Source organism: Homo sapiens, chromosome 10 (genome assembly GCF_000001405.40).
Source record: "Homo sapiens chromosome 10, GRCh38.p14 Primary Assembly".
NCBI lineage: Eukaryota > Metazoa > Chordata > Mammalia > Primates > Hominidae > Homo > Homo sapiens.
Window position 1 is genome coordinate 123,951,077 of NC_000010.11, and position 20,231 is coordinate 123,971,307.

Sequence of the window (20,231 nt, forward strand, 5' to 3'; positions counted from 1 at the left end):
CCAAAGCCAACCCCACGAACCAAGTCAAGGCTCCAAGCAAAGGGCCCCATCTGCCGTCAAGCCTTTCTCCAAGGGCTGGGTGCCCACAGAGCCCCCCTCAGCAGGAAGCAGGGAGGCCCCGCCCACCCTTCCCAGCTGGTTCTTTGCCCTGGGGAAGATGGATTAGGAGAGATGCTTTCAAAGGCACGAAATTTTTTTTTTCTTCTCTCTCTCTTTTTAATGAAGCAAACCAGATAGACAGGAGAAAACTCAAAAAGAAATGTTTTAAGAATAATGACCTTTTCTTGTTATTGTTTAAAAAAAATCATGCTCATTAGAAACAAATTCAATGATAAATACCAGAGACTAGGAAGGGTGTGTCAGTGGGGAGAAGGACAGAGAGGTTGGTTAATGGATACAAACACACAGTAAGACAGAAAGAATAAGGTTCAATAGCAGAGGAGGGTGACTAGTTAGCAACAATGTAGGGTGTATTTCAAAATAGCTACAAGAAAGGTCTTGAAATATCCCCAGAATACAGAAATAAATACTTGAGGTGATGGATACCCCAAATACCCTGACTTGGTCACTCCACATTCCATGCACCTAACAAAATATTACATGTATTAAGCCGTTCTCACATTGCTATAAGGAAATACCTGAGATGGGGTAATTTTTAAGGAAAAGAGCTTTAATTGGCTCACAGTTCTGCAGGCTGTACAGGAAGCATGGCAGCATCTGCTTCTGGGGAGGCCTCAGGGAGCTTCTAGTCATGGCAGAAGGTGAATGAGAGCCGGCGTCTTATGTGACAGGAGCAGGACCAAGAGCAAGGGGGAAGTGCCACATACTTTTGAACAACCAGCTCTCATGAGAACTCACTCACTATAATGAGGGCAGTACACGGGGGAAATCCACCCCAATAATCAAATCACTTCCACCAAGACCCACCTCCAACACCGGGGATTACAATAGATTTGGGCGAGGACACAGATCCAAACCATATCATTATATGTACCTCACAAATATGTATGAATATTATGCATCAATGAAAAAAACAAATTCAAGCAATATAAAAAGGACCAAATGATCCCTTCAAAGTCAAGGGGAGAAAAGGGTAGACAAAGAGTGATTATTCAAGGTTATTGGATTTTGATATGACTGCATGTTTCAAGTTTTACTTCCTGCTCTGAAAGATGAGGGAAGTGCCAGCGTTCCCTCACCTCCTTTTCCGATTTGGTGATGACATCATGATTTACACCGGCCATGTTTATAAGAGTTACTCTCTGTTTTATAACACAATTTCACTAGTTACTGGGGTCTTAATTCCAAAATAGAATGGATTCTGTGTTCACTGTCATTCGTTTTCAGCACAGTTCCTTGTTCCTAAGATCTACAGTTTGATTCCTCAGTGTTCTGTCAAAAACGGCTTTTAGGAACTGTCCGCCCTGAGTGCCCACACGTGTAAAGCCATCTGTGTGTGGTCTTTATACGTGCCAGGGTCTGCTGATCCACATTTCCTTTCCCCCAAACTGTAGATTGTGGCCACCATCCTCGGGTGCTGAATGCTGTGGGGGAATTTGTGCTTTGGTTTCCTTTGGCTTTTTGGTTGATAGGATTCTGCCTTTGTCACTGTGTTCAGAAGCTAACCATAGTTATGCTTCAGCATGGGTCACTCTGTCTATGTTTCTCTTTCTGGGATACAACGTGCTCAGTTGAATTGGAAGTCCATGTCCTCCTTCTGAAAAGTCAGCTTCCCATGGTTCCTTGAATGCCTTTTCAGTTTCATCCATTCTGTTCTCTTCTTGGAAAAACCAGTTGCCCTTTGCCTGCCATTTACATCTTCTTTACGATCAATCTTGCATGTTTTTTGTGCCAGTTTGTTTTGCACAATTTTGTCAAACTTGTGCTTTCAGGGTTGTGTGGCTTTGAACGTGGTTCCCGTCACTGTAATGTTTTATCTTTTTCTTCCATTTGTTTCCTCAACTTGCCTTTCATCTCTCTGTTGTCACAGAATCTCTGCTTGAAACTTACAGAGTTCAGTTGAGCTCAGTTTGTTGGTCCGTTGCGTCTGCAGTTTCTTTTGGGATATAAGGAACTCATTTGATCTTTCCTTTTCCTTCTTTGAGCCCTCCCTCTTGGAAGTGTGTTATTCATCTCACTCTTTCTTACATCCCTTTCCTGCTTTGCTTTTTTCTTGCTGTTGTTAAAGAAAATGTGTTCAATAATACTTGTTAAAGCATGGTAAGGAAGACTTTATTCAGGGCCATTGACATAGTTATAGGGTACCACTGCAATGGGGTCTCAGAGTTGGGGAGAGAGATTGCGTAGAATTTATGCAATTATATAGGAATTTATAGCCATGAAGAGTGTGGGGGTCAGTGGATAGAAAATTACTAAGAAGAAGGCCGGGCACGGTGGCTCATACCTGTAATCCTAGCACTCTGAGAGGCCGAGGCAGGCAGATTGCCCTGAGCTCAGGAGTTCAAGACCAGCCTGGGCAACATGGCAAAACCCAGTCTCTACTAAAAATATAAAAAATCAGCTGGGCACCGGGTGGGCACAGTGGCTCATGCCTGTAATCCTAGCACTTTGGGAGGCCGAGGTGGGCAGATCACAAAGTCAGGAGTTCAAGACCAGCCTGGCCAACATGGTCTAGAGACTATTTTTAGTCTCTACTAAAAATACAAAAAATTAGATGGGCGTGGTGGCGAGCACCTGTAATCCCAGCTACTCGGCAGGCTGAGGCAGGAGAATTGCTTGAACCCAAGAGGCAGAAGTTGCAGTGAGCTGAGATTGCGCCATTGCACTCCAGCCTTGGCGACAGAGCAAGACTCCGTCTTGAGGAAAAAAAAAATTAGCTGGGTATGGCAACACACACCTATGGTCCCAGCCACTTAGGAGGCTGAGGCACAAGAATCACTTGAACTCAGGAGGCAGAAGTTGCAGTGAGCCAAGATCGTGCCACTGCACTCCAGCCTGGGTGACAGAGGGAGGCTCTGTCTCAAAAAAATAATAATAAAATAAAAATAAAAAAATTACTGAGAGGAAACATAAGAGTTAAGGGAGATTCTGGCTGAACTGACCTAACAGAATTCTTGCTGAAGACAGGCTAGGGTAATCAGACATCACCTGGGGGATGATGGCAACTGAGCAACCTGATCAGATATTGAGGATGGGGGTGGGGAGGTGGGTTCTTGCTAAACTGACTTACAAATGTTCTTTGCTAAAACTGGATTTCACAAGGAAGTGCACAGACGGGCCGAGGGGAAGATTTAGAAGCCTGACTAAAGTTTGGTCAAGCAAAGAATCTTTTGTTAGTCTCCACCTCCCTTGTTCAAGGGAAAAAAGAGGCATTCTTCTTTCTTTTGAACAATATAAACTCATTTTCTTGTTCAGTTGCCTATTGTTCATGAAGGACCGCTGAATCAGCTGCTGGGAGTTGGTAGCAGAGGAGATCTCCTGGATGGTGTGAGCCATCAGGCCTTTAATGAGGATAGTTTCATTTCTATAAAAATAAAAGAAAAATAAATGTTAATAGTAAGAACAAACCATAAACTCGCTTTCTGAGTCCATAGGGCAGCCAGTAAAGATTTCTAGATGCTGGCCCTGAAGTATCTTCAGCTGTAGCAAGGCACTGGGAGGGCAGTAGCAATCTAACGGATTTTCCAGGTTTGCAGTTTGGATGTCATGAAGGTTGTCCATACGTAAGCTGTTGTGGTTGGTGGTTCCTCCAAAGTTTAATAGAAAGTTGCTCAGCTTTAGCTTACAGGGCATTAGGAAAACAGCAGTGATCCCAAGCCAGAAAGATGAGAGAAAATTGGAAACATTAGTTTGGAAAGTCATAGTCAGATATTGGGCGAAACTGGGAGAACTCAGGATCCAGTCCAAACTACATGTGGATAATAAAACCTCAAAAAAATGAACAGGGCTAGAATCAAATATTAGGTACACTATAGTTTTCTTCTGAAACAATTTTTCTCCCTATAGTCACCCCCATTTTTACCAAAGATAATCAAAGAAAGACTAATTCATTTGCAAAACAATAAGTTTAAGTCTATTATTTACACAAATGCAGCAAGAATAGTGACTGACCACTTAGGCTCTTGTTCAGTCTGCTTTGCTAGAACTTTTGGTAAGGAACCTCAGATTAGACTTCTGAAAGCCTCTTTAGGATATGAAGCCAAACCAATGACCTACCATCATGCTTCATCTGTTACATTTAGATTTGAGTGAATTCCTCTCTTCTTGAGGTCCCTGAATATCCTGAGGTTTCTGTGCCTGCCAAGAAGGGATATTCCTTATTTGCCTGTAAGGCTGGAACCCTCAAGCCAGTTTTATTAAGATGGGCATGGCTTATTGGCTCCATAAAGTCAACCTTAGTTCCTTAAAGCTGTCTGGTCATATCTGAAAATATGGCATTCCAGTCAAAGCCTTGTAATATATCCAGTGCTTCCAATTGTGTCCTGTTATAAGGAGGACAGATTCTTATTTAACTTATGCAAATAACTATATTTCCATAAACATAAGAATACTTACAAATAGTTTCTGAATTCTGGATGGATCAAGGAGGGAGAAACCCCATTTTTGTTCACAAAAGTATACTTTATCAAATCGTTGCAATCTACAGATAGCTTTTTTTAAAAAGTTTGCTTAAATCTGGACAACAAAACAATTAAAGCAAGCAATGTTTTAAATAAAAAGTCATTAAAAAGTATCCTCATCAGTTTATTCAGTCCCATGTAATTACTTTGTGTTCTGCTTGATATTGAAATGGTTGTTTCATGAACCCATGAGTTTCTTCACCAGAGTTCTGGAAATTCTTACTCAGACCAATGGTATGATCTTAAAGTTTTGAGAAACCTGTGTTCTAGAGTACTTGTCAGAGTCTTTTCCATGAAACTCCTTGAAAAAGAAATTTTGGACTGTAGCTGATTGCAAATAATTTCAGAGAAGAATAAAAACAATAACTGTGAGGCCAGGCGCGGTGGCTCATGCCTGTAATCCCAGCACTTTGGGTGGCCGAGGCGGGCGGATCACCTGAGATTGGGAGTTCAAGATCAGCCTGACCAACATGGAAAAACCGTGTCTCTACTAAAAATAGATAATTAGCCAGGCATGGTGGTGCATGCCTGTAATCCCAGCTACTTGGGAGGCTGAGGCAGGAGAATCACTTGAACATGGTAGGGGGAGGTTGTGGTAAGCCGAGATTGTGCCATTGCACTCCAGCCTGGGCAAGAAGAGCAAAACTCCACCTCAAAAAAAACAACAAAAAAAAACAACTGTGGATGACAAAGACTTAGAATGGCCATGGTTAAAAATAGCATGAGAGTTCATTATTATTATTATTATAATGATGCAACTCACAAAGAAATTTGGTTCTTTCAGTGGAATACAACAATTTAACATAGCCAAAATTATGACTGATAGAATATGAGATTTCTAGACATCTCACACAATTTTTAAAACATTCATATTGATAACATACCCATAGGCCAGGCACAGTGGCTCATGCCTATAATCCCAGACCTTTTGGAGGCTGAGGCAGGAGGATCACTTGAGGCCAAGAGCTCAAGACCAGCCTGGGCAACATAGTGAGACCCTGTGTCTACAAAAAAAAAAAAAAAAAAATAGCCAGTCATGGTGGTGCACACCTGCAGTCCTAGCTACTCAGAAGGCTGACAAGGGAGGATCCCTTGAGCCCAGGCATCTGAGGTTACAGTGAGCAATGATCACATCCCTGCACTCCAGCCCAGGTGACAACAGAGCAAGACTATGTCTCTTAAAAATTACTTAAAGAAAGTTTCGAATCACTTATCTGACAATGCTTCCCATATAACTTAACATCAAATAAGTCTAGTTAGTTTAGCCTCTCTCTTTTACAAAATCAGAGACACATCTTTTGAGCTTTTCCAGGAGCCCAATTTAAAAAATCCCAATGTTAATTCAAGGCCAAAAAGACTTAATTTAGAATTTGATAATGGGAAATTTTTTTCAATGTCAAAAAGTTTAAAATGCTTCATCAAAATAGGATCACAGGTCACTTTGAAGTAAGAGTCACTCATTTAAACAGAGTAATAATTAAAAGACTTCAAGAGGTAAATACAGAAGTTTACATAGTTATCAATAAAACCTTAACTCTTAATATTGAGAAAATGCACTTATCTTAAGTAATCAAATACTTAATAAAAGACAATAATGAAACACAAGAAAATATCTTAATAAAACATAAAATATTTGTTTACTTAAAAGATAAGGAAAAACCCTTCATATTCTCAAACCATTACTCTGAGAAAATCCTGTCATTTTAACAGAGAAGACCAAAATCTACTTTTGTGTCAATGTAGTGCTGAAACTTATTTTAATAAACCTTATAAATGAATCTATTCAATCTTAGTTAACTTTGACCATACAAGATAAAATTTTCACAATGCTTTTATAACCTTTTTTTTACTTCTATTACTGATACTCATTAAGCAATTAAGCAATTCATTTTTACTGTGCATTCTACTCTAAGGTTGTATTTATAGTTTTATGTCCTTAAACATCCAGCAGAGACAACACAGACCTCTCTGACCAGAGAACCAGGCAAAAATTTATGTCTGTATGATATTCAGTGCTGACAATTCTGAAGACAGTCCTATCTTTATTTGATCAGTAATTTTTAAACTAGCTTTTGTTTAACAAGGATTATTCCAGAGCACATGAACTTAAAAAAAAAATTGAGTCAGTTTCTAATTTTCTGAGAATTCTATGAAAACTTAATTTGTTTGAGCATTCATTTATCCCTAAGCCAATTTTAGCATATTGGTTGGGTAATGCCATTGGAGGTAGAAAAAGATCACATATATATAACATATAAACATAGATCATACATGTACACATCCAGAAACATACAAAGAGATGCAACTAGATCTTATGGCTTTCCATTTTTAAAAAATTTTAGTAATGAGGTAGTAAAACAGAGTCATACAAACTCACTGGTTTATCTTCACTTTATATTTTTATCCAGATTGTGTTTCTGATGAAAATAAGACAAGTTGAATTTACCTACTCAACAAGGGTTAAGGCTTTTTACCAATATTTGTGGAGAAGATTTTAAGATTTTTTCATTTGCCCAATTTCCAAATAGTCCTTTCTTTTTCTCTTTTCAGCCTCAGGTGCTTGCTTTTGAGGGGCCCTGTGTCCCTTATGAGCCCCTGGAGGGTAGAGAGGCTAAAATTCAATTGACTCAGGGGCAGGAGTGGGAAGGGAAAGGATCTGGCAAAGGTAACCAGAGTTGGCAGAGCATCTAGTCAGCAGGGGTTCAAAGAAAGGAGCTTCTGGTGACAGAATCATTCCAGTGAGAGAAGCAGGATCCAGTAGAGAGAACAGAAAGAATAAACAGAACGGGGAGGCCTCACAGAGAGTCAGGAAGAAAGACTTCCAGCCCAGGGAGTCAGGGAATAATTCCAACTCAGAGCAAGGAGCCAGGAAAAAGACGTCCCAGCTAAGGAAGTACCCTTGAAAAGAAGCCTGGAACTCTAACCCAGCTTCACAGAGTATACTCATACCTTAAGAATCAAAATCTGTCTTTACCAGCTTGCCCATTTCACCACATTAGGACACATAGAGTGTACCTTCCAAGGACATTTGTCCAGAGCAATTGTTCAGGAGTCTGACTCATCAACTGATCCTCTACTGTATTGAATAATTTCACTGTAACAATTATGGGGCCATGGTTGGTCTCTGTCTTTCATTCTCTTCAAATGTCGAATGGGCTTTGACTGTGGTTTACAGTCAAGAGGGATACACTAAAAGATTACCATTCATGCAGGGATTTAAGACCATTTCCTAAAGGGAACTTGAAGCAGTTGACAACTTGGTGGGGGTCTTTCTCTTGAGTTGATAACTCTCTTCATGGGGTAACCTCCACACTCCTGCCTAGGAGAGTCACACATTTGAAGACAGAGCAGAAAAGGGGCTGACATCTCATTTTAGGAAAACCTGCACCTAATCCTGTATTTCAGTGTGCCTCTCCTCTCTTGCCTGCTCCCTGAGACCAAGGTCCCTCTCCTCAGTCTCTCTGGAAAGCAGACCTCCAGTCTTCTGCAGGATAGCAGAAGAGTCAGGTGCCCATTCCTCAAAGGGAAGCAGGGAATCTTGAGGTCTATTTCCTCCACAGACTTTGTATTCCAAATTCCACAGTCCTCCTGCTTTCACCACCACTGGTCACCACACTAGGGATCCTGCCGACTTTCTCTTGTCAGTTAATCATTTACTCTCTTGCTATGGTCTGAATGTATGTGTTCCTGCAAATTCATATGTTGGAACCTAATACCCAGTGTGATAGTACTAAGAGTTGGGGCCTTTAGGAGGTGATTAGGTCACAAAGGCTCCACTCTCCTGAAAAGAATTAGTGCCCTCATGAAAGAGATCTGAGTGCCCCATGAAAGAGATCTGAGCAAGCCTGCTTGCCCATTTCACCATGTTAGGACACAGAGTGTGCCATCTATGTGGAACAGGCCCTCCTCAGCCACTGAATCTGCTGGTGCCTTTATCTTGGACTTCCCAGCCTCCAGAACTATGAACAATAAATTTGTATTGTTTATAAATTACTCAGTCTAATGTATGTTGTTATGGCAGCTGAACAGACTAAGACACTCATTCATCCACTGTCCAGTTCCCAAAACATCCTGTTGTTATTCCACTCACTTTCTATTTGTCCTTAAGAGTTTGTGCTCCCTTTAATTCCTTTACTGTCTTTTTGGTGGGATTTGGGGTGGGGGTAGAAGGAAATTCACGTGTTCAGTCTGCCATATTTAACTGAATGTCACTTCTATCTGGTTTTCAAGGTGTACACTTTAATCAGAGTCTACCACACTAGTCCTACCCTCACTGAACTTCAAAATCCTGCTGTATTCAAGGCCCAAAGGAAATATCAACCCTATCTGAACAAGCCCCTCTGAACAACCCCCAATACCCTCTAATGTATAATTTTACAATATCAGGACCCCATCCACACAGACAGGACCCTTAGAGGGCCTGGGCAAGTGTACAAATGGACACCCACATACCATATGTCTAAATATTCAAAAGTTATAAATCAAGCAAACAAGCTGTTAAATACATTCCCTCCTCCTACAATGATAATTATACTTTCATAACAACCTGGAAACTTAAGTTCAAATTTAGAATTATCGGACTGCTTGGAGTTTTGCACTGAAACAGGCAGTGCAGCAACAGTTGGCCCCTAGCCTGTCCCTTTTTTTCATACTGGCCCACCCTGGACCAGTTGTGAACACCTATATTCACTCTCTAGGCCCTTATATGAAAGCTCTTCTCCCCATCCCCACAAATATCCCCCCTTGGCCCAACTTTGGGCCTAGACGTACTCATCCAATTGTGTGGCCCACCTGAGGAAGAGGAACCCAGGAAGAAAGCCAGCACAGGCCCTGGAAGTGCCTTGGAGCTTGTAATGGTTAATTTTAATGTATCACTTTGGCTGGCCACAGGCTGCTCAGATATTTGGTTAAACATTATTCTGGGTGGGTCTATCAGGGTGTTTCTGGATGAGATAAACATTTGAATCAGTAAACTAAGTAGACTGCCCTCCCCAGTGTGAGTGGGCTGCATTCAATCCATTGAAGGCCTGAACAGAACAAATGGCCAAGTAAGGGAGAATTCTCTCTCCTCTGTCTGACTGCCTTCTAGCTGGGAAGTTGGTCTTCTCCCACCTATGGATTTAGACTTGGACTTGGATGGAATGTACACCACTGGATCTCCTCATTTTCAGACCTTCAGACTCAAACTGGAACTATACCATTGGATCTCCTGGGTCTCCACTTTGCCAACTGAAGATCTTAGGATATCTCAACCTCTATAACTACGTGAGCCACTTCCTTATAATAAAGTGTTTATAATAAATGCTTCTTATATAATATATATACATTTAAATATGTGGGTGTGTAACCTATTGGTTCTGTTTCTCTGGAGAACTCAGACTAACACAGGGTCATTTGGATGGGGCTTTCCAATGTTCCAGGAATTGGAGCATTGTCTAGAAGGCAGAGGTGTAGGAGACCAGAAAATGCTACTCCAAAGTATGCCTCTTTGGCTTAAGACTTATTTTGAGCTTATTATTTTGAGAAGCTACAGACACAAAAGATGCTCTGAAAACAAAGTGGCAGCTACCTTTGTGTAAGGGAAATTTATATCTATAAAAGGTGAAATCTCCATCTGTAAGAGTGTCTCCCTCTCTGTACCAGGACTCAAATCACTAAAGACTCTTATCAATGGAGAAGGCGCTGACTCAGATCTGCAAATACAAACATTACTCTTTGTTTACTGTGCTTTTTCTTCCCATAACCAGCCTTCCCCATGCCCTTGTTTCTTAGTTTCCATAGACAATAGTTTTTAAGCCTGAATTCCAAGCCACCTCTTTGAGATTCATTCATTTTTCTGAGTACCTCCCATCTATGCATGAGGGTATACTTGTTATTAAACTTCTGTTTTTCTCTTGTTAATCTGTCTTTTGTTACAGGGGTCTGTCCCAACTAAAAACTATGAAAAGTAGAGAGAAATTATTTTCCTCCCCTACACAGGCATGAGCTCCAAGTTGGCATGTCAACTTGGCTTTTGGACTCTAACCCTAGGAAAAGGGCAAGACCAGAGAAAGCTCAGACGGAGTGTGACACAGAAGTGTCAGAGGGGGCCAGCTCTTGTTGTCTAGGAGACTTTCTGATCTCACTCATGTCTGGAACAAAGGAGAGAAGAGTCTTCCCCATCCCAAGCCTAGCTCAAAGAAATAAACATTCACAAAAATTTCGTAGCTTCCAATCTTATAGCATCATCCAAATCCCTCCCAATTTGTACCCACCTCCCATCAACATAATAACCCACCTCTTCCAGGGAACAGAGCCAAGGAGGTTTACCTTTTAAGGGCTTTGTCTTCTGTTACGATCTGCCATGGTCTACAGCATAACCAGTTAAATCTTGATCTCTTTCTGTCCAGCTTCTTCTGTCTTCCTGACGCCTAGTGTCCATATGTCAAAATATATTGATATATATTTTAGAAATGGAGACAATCAGCCATTAAAACAGTAGTTCCCAGCCTTTAGGGTTTCAGAAACCAATACTTTTAATTTTAATTCACAGGCCATGATTCCATTAAAGAAAGCCAGCTGAACACAAAAATATAGGAACAGCATCATCTCTGTGTAAAGGATACTCCAAATTAAATAAGCTTGGCTTTATAAAAAAAAAAAACTCACTATATTTTCTTTACTTTTCACATTTAGTCTTAGACCAGGGAAACTTGATTCTTTTCTCATTTTTTCCACAAAGACCAATATTTGGAAATTACTTCTTTAAAGCTCATAACGGGAAAAATTTTAAAGCCGTTATGTTAACACGGAAGTACGCCAGTGTCCAGATTCCTGGGATGGGCAGGGAGTACAGAGAGAAGAAGACGTCTGCCCTCCAGCAGGGCTTACTCCAATTCTATTCTTTTTCCATGGCTCAGGCTGGACCTTGACATTGACAGGCGCAGCTCCTAAATCTTCCTTTGTTTTCAAATTCATTTCTCCCAGGTCGTCTGGACTGTAAGCTCCTCTACAGTGACAAGTATTTTGCTTCATTTTTGTTTCTTCTTCTCATCTCCAAAGCCAGGACTAGGGTGAGCTTATCTCTCACCGTTCCCCCAACAAAAGCCCTCTCTCCAGGTGCTGCCTCTGCTGCCCTCACCTGTGCTGTGCCCATCCAGCCTCCCCGTACTTGCTCATGCCCTCTCCCCCAGAAATGCCCTCTGCCTTCCCAGATGCTGTGGAGCCCAGCCCAGGGCCCCTCTCCAGGAAGCCCACCGGAACCTCCCTGTCTTCTGAGTGCCTGTGACCCTCTTAGCAACACTGGGTTCTCAGCAACCTCCAACCTCCAGGCGTTCTCAAATCTATCACAGGTGTGTCCACTGGACTGGAGCTCCACCTGCATCACACACTGTCATGGATGTGTCAGGAGTTGGCATCTTACCATCCTCTGCCCCAGGAGCAGTATGGGGGCTTTTTGCTAAAAGCCAGTACACTGAAGCTTCAGCCTAGATTGTAGCCCAGCGTTCTGCTCACAGTTGGGGGAACCAGACGGGGGCTGCCCGGCTGTCCTGCCTTACCCTGCGGGGAGAGCGCTTGGTTATTTCCATCCAAGCCCCTCCCTGGTGCGTTTGTTCTGCAAACTCTCTGGTCACACTCCAAGCCACTGCCTTTGCTGCACTGTCTGTAAACATGACAGTCTCGGGGCTATATTAAGATTTTATGAGTCTGTAAAACAGATTAAGAGATTCAGTGTGAAATTCTCCTTTTTAAAAGCTCTTCTTTCCCTTCAGATCCCATCAGCTGCACCAGCCCTGGCCCCATTGGCTTCCCATCCTGCCTGGGGACTGCTCTGAGATTTCAAAGTTAAAGTAAATGCTGCTTTTTCAAAACATATGGGCACCAGCTTCCCTCCCTTCTCATCCAGTGTTACTATTCGACTAGGTGATGGATCCCATTTTTCTTGACACTTAGGCATTGAAGGGGCTTTCTAAATGGTGTCTTTCCCTTCTCTAAACAAGCATGGCTCAAAATATAAGCTACTCAAGTGAGAATGTGAGAGGATGAACAATTGGCCTGGTTTTCCTGGGACTTTCAGCACTAGAAGTCCCATGTCCAGAAACCCCACGGCGCTGGGCAAAGTGGGAGAGTTGTTTGCCCTAGCATGAAGGCTTCTTGCAGAATCACCAAATGTTAGAACCAGGGGAATTGTCTGAACACTGGGAGAGAAGACTTTCAAATGATTTAGAGCCTCAGACCACTGTTTCAAATGAAAACTTATCTGAGAAGCAATAAGCAAACAGACGCGACAGGAAATCCTCTGGTGGACAGAGGTGGGGAGCCTGCAGGGAGAGTAAGGCTCTGACCTGGAACACTGGGCTTCTCTGATGTCATCCAACAATCACCCAACCCCCAAGAAGACAGGGGGCTCCCACTCACCTCAAATCAAAGCCCTGGGAGGAGCTTTGCAGTGACTTTGGTTAATGATATCAGATTAAAAACTGCAGCCCCAAGGGGAAGTATGACTTTAGGGGCCAAACTAGACCTCCTCTTCCTTAATTTCCAAAAGAGACAGCTAGACATGCCCTCTGGCAGCACCTCCTTCCTCCCCACATACATTTGCTTTCTAATTTTGGAAAATAATCTCATGAACCCCAAACCCAATCTTAGAGACACTGCCACATAAAACCCCCACACGCATGCATGCATGCACCCACAGTCGCCTCCCTGGGGGCCTTGCACACCCTGACTGAGAGGGCAGCCAGCCCTGCTTCTGGCAGGGAAGATGGAGAGAGGGACAAGGAGAGGAAAAGGAAAAGGGAGAATCAGGCAGACAGAAGTAGGGCAGAAGCTGGGTTCAGAGCCTTGGCCATGCTATCACCAGCTTACAGCCGAGAAACAGACAGGCAGAGTGAGGGTACGAGGCTGGGGTCAGAGGTTTTGAAGCCAGACTCATCCCTGGCCTCCTGACTCAAGGCTCTTTCTGCCACCCAGACAGAATCATACCTAGCTGGGCCATGGCTATTTAAGGGAGGCCATTCACCCACTAATCACAGATTCTGACCTTCATGGCTTAGTCTGACCTTCACAGCTTAGTATGAAAAAAATGCAGGGAATGGGGGCATTTGAGGAGTCCATGCCGGGACCTCCAAACACTGCATCTCTGAGATCAATATAGACCTTCTGGAAAGGCCCTGGTTATTTACAAGCTTCTGCTCACACCTAGTGCCCAATTCGTCACATTCTCACTAAACACAACCTCAGCACCATGGGGGGACAGGGAAGGGTCTGTTCTCCCTGCACATAGAAGCGGCCAGGCACCCAGCTTACCCTGAATCTGGAAACTTCTGCACTCAGAATCCTGGATTCCATTCCCCAGTCAACTGCAGGTCCCAGGTAAGGAAACCCATTCCAGTTCTCTGAGTTTGGGAAGAAAGGGCAGGCCCACTCATCGGTGATGCTGGAGCTCCAGCTGAAGAACCCACCAGCCCTGGAGGAGGGGGGCCTGGGCTGGGCGGACTCTCTGGCAAGAGCAGGTTTCCATGGAGACATGAATCCAGGGCTGGAAGGACCTTCTCAGTTTGCTCTGAGCCACTGCCTGGCTCACACCCTACGTGAGGCTCCTGCCCTCATCTCCCCCTGGCATATTCTCCCCACATTGGACTGGCAGATGATGGCTCACTGTGCAAAGCACTTAGTGACAGGATCCTTTTATTCCTCACTCTAACCAACCCAATGGGCACGAACTCCATCAAAGGATGAAGCAGAGTCCCAGAAGATCAAGTGTTCGCCCAAGTCTCAGAGTTTGGGAAGAAAGGGCAGGCCCACTCATTGGTGATGCTGGAGCTCTGGGCGAAGAACCAAAAGTCACCCAGTGAGTTCACGGGGACACACAGCTCCACCTCCAGCAGAGGTTCCTACTCCCCCAGCTGGGACAGCCACTGCAGCACCGCTCTGCTCTCTCGCCTCCCCAGCGGCAGACACCCCAGCCTGTGCCACGGCCACTGCTCAGGGTGAGCCACATGCCCCCTGGGCACCCTCCGCTGGCATATGTCAGATGTTGCTCTCACAGACTTTATTTTATCACTACAACAAGCCTGTAAAACAAGTCTGAGCCTATCCCCCTTCTGTCTGTAGATGGGGAAGGAGGTTTGATTTGCCCAAGGACCACCAGGGAATCACTGCATGGGCTGACCCCAGCTGCAGCCCTCCTGCATGGCTGCCTGTCACTCCAGCTAAGCAGAGGAGCTGCCGTTACCAGCACCCTTTCCCTTTCTAATCTGAAGGCAGCCCTGCGGTGAGAGAGTCCCAGCGTCACCCATCACCCCAGCAGGTCAGGGGCCCTGGAGTCCCCCCTTGATGAATGACCTTAGCAGGAAAGAGAAATCTGCCCCCTCTCCATGCCCCACACCCACAGCCAAACAGTGGCTTCTCACCACTCCAGCTTCCTTTCCAAGAGGGTCCAAGCTCCCACCGTGGCTTCCACACTATTCAGACACTTCCTAAGTTCACGGGTCATTCCAGTGCTTTGCCACTTCCAGGGAAATCAGCACTGGAAATGCAAGTCAGCAAATAGGACAGAAGCCCAGGAACCAAGGGTAGGGCCCAGGGAGCCCTACCAGGGGCTGGCAATCTAGGGCAAGTCTCTCCCCTCCAGGCTCGTCTCCTCCTCTGTTGTCGGATAAAGCAAATCGCTTCCAGCTCTATATGCCCCGCCATCTTTTTGTAATTAATATTTCAACTGATTACATGAGTTAGAGGAAACCAAACAATGAGGATGATGAAAACAAAAAGTGTTTGCATTGGAATTTACACAATGAACTCACCCTAGAACTATTCCAGAATTAAAAGCCTCTTAAAATACGGTCAGATGCAGCATAGGCCAACCCATGCTGCTTTGAGCTGCTTCCAGTGGTCTTGGTTGGAAAGAATGGACTGCCTAGGATGGAGGGGGAGTGGGGTGGGGTGGGGAGGTGGGGGCCTGCACAGAACCTGGGGGAGCAAACCCTGGCCTCAGACATGAAGTCTGACAAAAGAGCCTTGTGTGGTGTAGGGCTCAGAGTCCAGTTTCTTGTGCTGAGAACCAAGTGGAGGATCGCGTGTCTGCCTACCCGCCCCATGTCCCCCCACCCCATCCCCCCACTGAGCGCCCACTGCTTGCATCGGGGCCATCAGGAATAGCAGTGAGGGGGGCTCTGTGGCTCCCTGGAGCTCTCAGCCGCCTTGCATATCTCCAGGGGCTTCTGGAATGGTCTGGATCTGTATACAGTTTCAGGGTTTCCTTGCTTTTCCAGTCTGAGACTGAAACTCATCCTCTAAGCATTTGAAAGAAACAACAGGAAAACTCAATCCTCTTTCCTTCCACAGCACATTTAGGGTGAGAGCTTCACAGCTGAAAATCTCCTTTAAAGAAAACGCGGCCCAAATATGCTGGGAGGAGAAGCCAGTGGATCTAGGAGGGGCCGGCGTTGCCGGCTCTGTCTCTGGGCTGACAACCTGGTTTCAGTATTGGTAAGTGGGTCAACCCCAGCTCCAGCGGCTCCTCCTCACCTCTGCCGATTGAGGGCCACTGCAAATTTCAAGCAGAATAAAAGAGTATTCTGAGGGCCACTGCAAATTTCAAGTAGAATAAGAGTATTCCACAGTTAAAGAAAATTTTATATATCTATATCCATCTCGCACAGATTACGTACTAGGCCTTCGTCTAAGCACTTCTTAATTATTAACTCATTCAGTCCCATTTTACAGATGACAAAACTACCAAGTGGAGAACCAAGGTCACGTTGCTACTAAATGGCAGAGCCAAGAGTTGAGGCCAGGCTATCTAGGTAGGACCAGGACCCAGAGTGGAGGGTGGGCCCAGGGCTGCCAGGTGGGCTCAGCGGGCCTGGAGCTGGTTTGAAACACAGGCGCTGCGGTGACCAAGTGAGCTGGCCCTGAAGGGCAGCGTGAGGGAAGAAGCCAGACCCCCCAGCCAGAGCCCCAGCCCTCAAGGGACAACTTGGCCAGGACAAGCTACTGGAACAGGCCAGGGCCCTTTTGGCGGGGAAGGGAGAACTGGACCACCCGGCCGAGAATTCCAGAGACTTTTCTCACTGATGGGAAGAAAACTGGGTCCCGGTAGGGGCCAGTGGGGAACGGGGCTTTGAAGGAACTCAGGACTCAGGCGTCCTTGGGATCATCTCGGCAAACTGCAGGTCTCCGGGGAGCCGCTCCGGTGCATTCCCAGGTCCAGCCTGCCCCCTGCTGGCTGTGTCGGGGAACCAAACACAGGCGTCAGCCTCATCGTGCAAAGGTGGACTTCTGAGTTCTCAGATACCCCCGTGAAGCCCACGCTAATAAACTGGGAATGACACGTCACAAAATCAGTTATAGAGTGCTGCTGATACAGTCATCATTCATTCTAACCACGTATTTAAACCGAGAAGATTGCATGTATGTTCTGCCTGTCAAGGAAACCATGGCATAAATTGTGTAAAATTTGTGTGCAGCATATTTTTGTCAGAAGTGGGGCAGAGAGGAGAGTGTTTAGGGGCTGGAGGTTAAAGTGCTGGAATCCAGGTCACCTCTACCCCAGTATACTCAAATGGTTGACTCAGGGCTTCAATGAAACACTCAACAATCGGAACGGGGAGTTTCAATCCTGCTAAGAAAACAGTCTATTTCCCTTCTGCTAATTTCATTAAATCAGTCTAGTATTTTTCAAAGCCTTTTGGCAGTTATCATAAAACAGACTCTCTGATCCCATAGGACAGTGATAGAGGATCATAAATCCAGCTGATTTGCATCTTTTAATGACCCAAACTTAATCACCCATAAAATCCCAGCCTCCAGCCAGACTGGCTTCCAGTTCGTTGCTGTTATTTGAGTATTTGCAGTAGAAAGTTTAATTTTGCTTTCACCTGGCCAGGACCCTGGGCTCACACCCACCATGTGCTAGCATCTGTAGTAAGAACAAATTTTGCAGAACAAAGCAGGTGACAAAACAGGTATTATTTTTCTATAACAGGACTTAATATGAGAGTCCAGCCCCCATTCACCAAATAACAACAAATGTCATCTAATCACTTCTGGGAATGGCTTGGTGATGCCTTAGTCTCTTTGCAGCTCCAGGTACACTTTCCCCTTCCTTGGTATCATCCACTCCTAAGGATTAAAGTGCCATCCACCTGCAGTTGCCTCCTGTTTCTCCCCACAGACCAGATCCCTCCTGTGCTCCAGACTCACCCAGCTAAAAGAGAAATGCCATTTCCATCCACACCGCTTCCCTCTGAGCCTTCCCTGTCTCCATGACTCAGGTCCAAACCAGGGCATCTTTTTGAGTCCTCTTTCCCTCACACCTAATCCAACCTTCAGTACAACCTGTGGGGTCTACCTCCCAAATAAAGCCCAAAGGTGACCTCTTTCACCTTTGCTGTTGCTGCCAGCCTTGTCCATGCACCACCGTCTTTAATCCGGATGATTCCAGAACTTCATGGTCCACACGGAGCCACTAGCCACATGTCGCTATGTAAATTGCACTAATTTAATTAAAATAAAGTGAATTTTAAAGCCGAACTTCTCAGCCACACCTAGCCAGATTCCAAGTGCTCAAGGGCCACACGTAGGCCCGTGGCCGCTGCAGGTGCAGTGCCAATGCAGGACACTTCCATTGCAGGACAGCCCTGCTCCAGGATCTCTCAGGGACAAAAGGGACGATGACCCCTGCCTGCATGTGTGTCTCCTCCCCCAGGCCCAGCCCATCTTCCCCAGGGCAAGCAGGGCCTTCTTCCTGAGCACGACTCAGCTGACATCGCACCTGTGCTTAAACTCTCTTATTGCCTATCCCGGTTAACAGAACAAAACGCCAGTTCCTTCCGTGGCCAGCCAGGCGCCACATCTTCACATTCAGCCAACCATCAGCAAATATCTATTGGACATAAACTATGTGCCAGGCAATTGTGATGGAAGATGCCAAACAGCAAAGAGTCAAAACTCCTCGCCTCCATGGAGCTGTCTAGGGGTAGGGGGGCGGGGGGAGCGATAAACAAACGGTAAGTAAATGATGGTTTTCTAGAAGATGAAATTGCTATATATATATATATTTAAAAAAGAGCAGATTGAAGGCACCTGGAATGCCAGGGGAGGGTGACCAGATGGCCTCGTTGACAAGGTGACAGGTGAGCCTTCCAGGTGGGGGATCAGCCAGCGGGGAGGCTCCAAGGTGTGGGCAGGCCTGGGTATTTGAGAAACCCAGGGGATCCAAGGGGCTGGGAAGGAGGAAATGAGGGAAAGGGTAGGTCCTTGGGGTCATGGGAAGGACGTGGGCTTTCATCTGAGCCAATGGGGAGTTATGGCAGGGTTTGAGCTGAGCAACAGTTCCCAGCTCATATTCAAAAGGCTCCTTCCAGCTGCCGGCATACGATGGGTGTTAAGAGGGGGGCGCAGAGAGCCCCGAGTCACCTGCAGGGAGGAGGAGGGTGAAGTGGATTTGGGTGGCAGTGGTGAGGAGTTCAGAGATGTTCAGAGGATCCCAGGTGGGTGGGATGTGAGTGGGGGTAGCAGCCCAGGATGGCTCTGGGTTCCTTGGCTCCTGAGAGATGGGACGGACAGGTGTGCAATGCTGGTGAAGACACGAGTGGGAGGCGTTCACTGGACACTAAAACAGAGGGGCAAACGGAGAGCAGGAGGCATTCACTGGACACCCAAGAGGAGCGATAAAGGGGAGCGGGAGGAGTTCACTAGACGCCCAAGCAGAGAGGCAAAAGGGCTGGGTCTGAGTCCACAGTGCTGGAGAGAGGTTGCTTTAGAGGCGGGAGCTAAGTGCTATGAAGCTGGCCCGCTGCTCTCTCCTTTCCTCTCTCCACTCTCTCCGTCTGGCCACTTGCACCTCCCTTTGCACCCACGACATCTCAGCTCATTTCAGTGCCCTAGCCTCTATCCTAGCAGTCCCCTGGCCAGCTCCACTGCGCGGTTCCGCCCTCTGCTTCCCACCGCACTCCGCAGCCCTGAATGATCGCTACTCACCCGGCTTAAACTGTGAGCCCAAGGATACTTGAGGACAGTTGTGTGAGGACACTTGTGGAGGACAGACACTCCAGCTCCTTGCTTGGGCTGTATTCCCAGCGCTAGACAGGCCTAGCCCCAGAAGACTCAGCGTCTGCACTGCCCCCACCTTGCTCCGCTCCCTGCCCCACCTTGCCCGCCCCCTGCCCTACCTTGCCCTGCCCCCTGCCCTACGTTGCCCCGCCCCCTGCAGCCACCTGCTGCTTTTCTGGGAGGCCCAGGAACCCAGATGGTCGCTGATGAAGAGGAGCATCTCTCCCGCACCAGTGGACCCAGCCCTGGGTTCTCAGCCTATAAGATACCACCACGCCCATACACAAACACGTACAAACATACACACTCCCACACACAAACACACACACGCAATCACACACAAAAACACCCCACACCCACACACAGTCACACACACACCCCACACATAAACATCCACACATTCACACACACAATCACATACACACACCCCACACCCACACACAAACACATACACACAAACATCCCCCCCACACACTGACATACATACAAACGCCACACAAACACACAATCACAAACACCTTCACACACAATCACACACACACAAACACCCCCACAGTCACACACACAATTGCAAACATACACATCCCACACTCACACACAAACACAATCACAAAT

At 45.8% G+C, this 20,231-nt stretch overlaps 1 long non-coding RNA gene across 9 annotated transcripts, besides 4 other annotated features; it reads right to left on the reverse strand.

Moving 5' to 3' along the window:
- LOC107984128 (uncharacterized) lies at window positions 650-15,669 on the reverse strand. Of its 9 annotated transcripts, none has more exons than XR_001747624.2 (4): window positions 13,869-15,669; window positions 12,119-12,266; window positions 10,890-10,990; window positions 650-3,484 (listed from the first exon to the last, which is right to left on the reverse strand). It is a non-coding gene; the product is annotated as an uncharacterized LOC107984128 (long non-coding RNA). The 9 variants fall into 9 exon arrangements; XR_001747630.2 differs by lacking the exon at window positions 13,869-15,669 and having other exon boundaries at window positions 650-2,176; window positions 3,191-3,484; window positions 12,119-13,861; XR_007062327.1 differs by lacking the exon at window positions 13,869-15,669 and adding an exon at window positions 4,177-4,257 and having other exon boundaries at window positions 12,119-13,861.
- Window positions 12,812-12,981: an enhancer, noted in NCBI's record as "experimental_10754 CRE fragment used in MPRA reporter constructs". NCBI's record gives its function as "activates a minimal promoter by MPRAs in K562 erythroleukemia cells, with activity observed for both the introgressed and non-introgressed 10:125723489 variant alleles {active_cell/tissue: K562}" and the evidence as "EXISTENCE:reporter gene assay evidence [ECO:0000049][PMID:34662402]".
- Window positions 15,207-15,376: an enhancer, noted in NCBI's record as "experimental_10761 CRE fragment used in MPRA reporter constructs". NCBI's record gives its function as "activates a minimal promoter by MPRAs in K562 erythroleukemia cells, with activity observed for the introgressed 10:125725884 variant allele {active_cell/tissue: K562}" and the evidence as "EXISTENCE:reporter gene assay evidence [ECO:0000049][PMID:34662402]".
- Window positions 15,207-15,542: a biological region, named in NCBI's record as "Neanderthal introgressed variant-containing enhancers experimental_10761 and experimental_10770".
- Window positions 15,373-15,542: an enhancer, noted in NCBI's record as "experimental_10770 CRE fragment used in MPRA reporter constructs". NCBI's record gives its function as "activates a minimal promoter by MPRAs in K562 erythroleukemia cells, with activity observed for the non-introgressed 10:125726050 variant allele {active_cell/tissue: K562}" and the evidence as "EXISTENCE:reporter gene assay evidence [ECO:0000049][PMID:34662402]".
- Window positions 15,670-20,231: the final 4,562 nt, after the last annotated feature.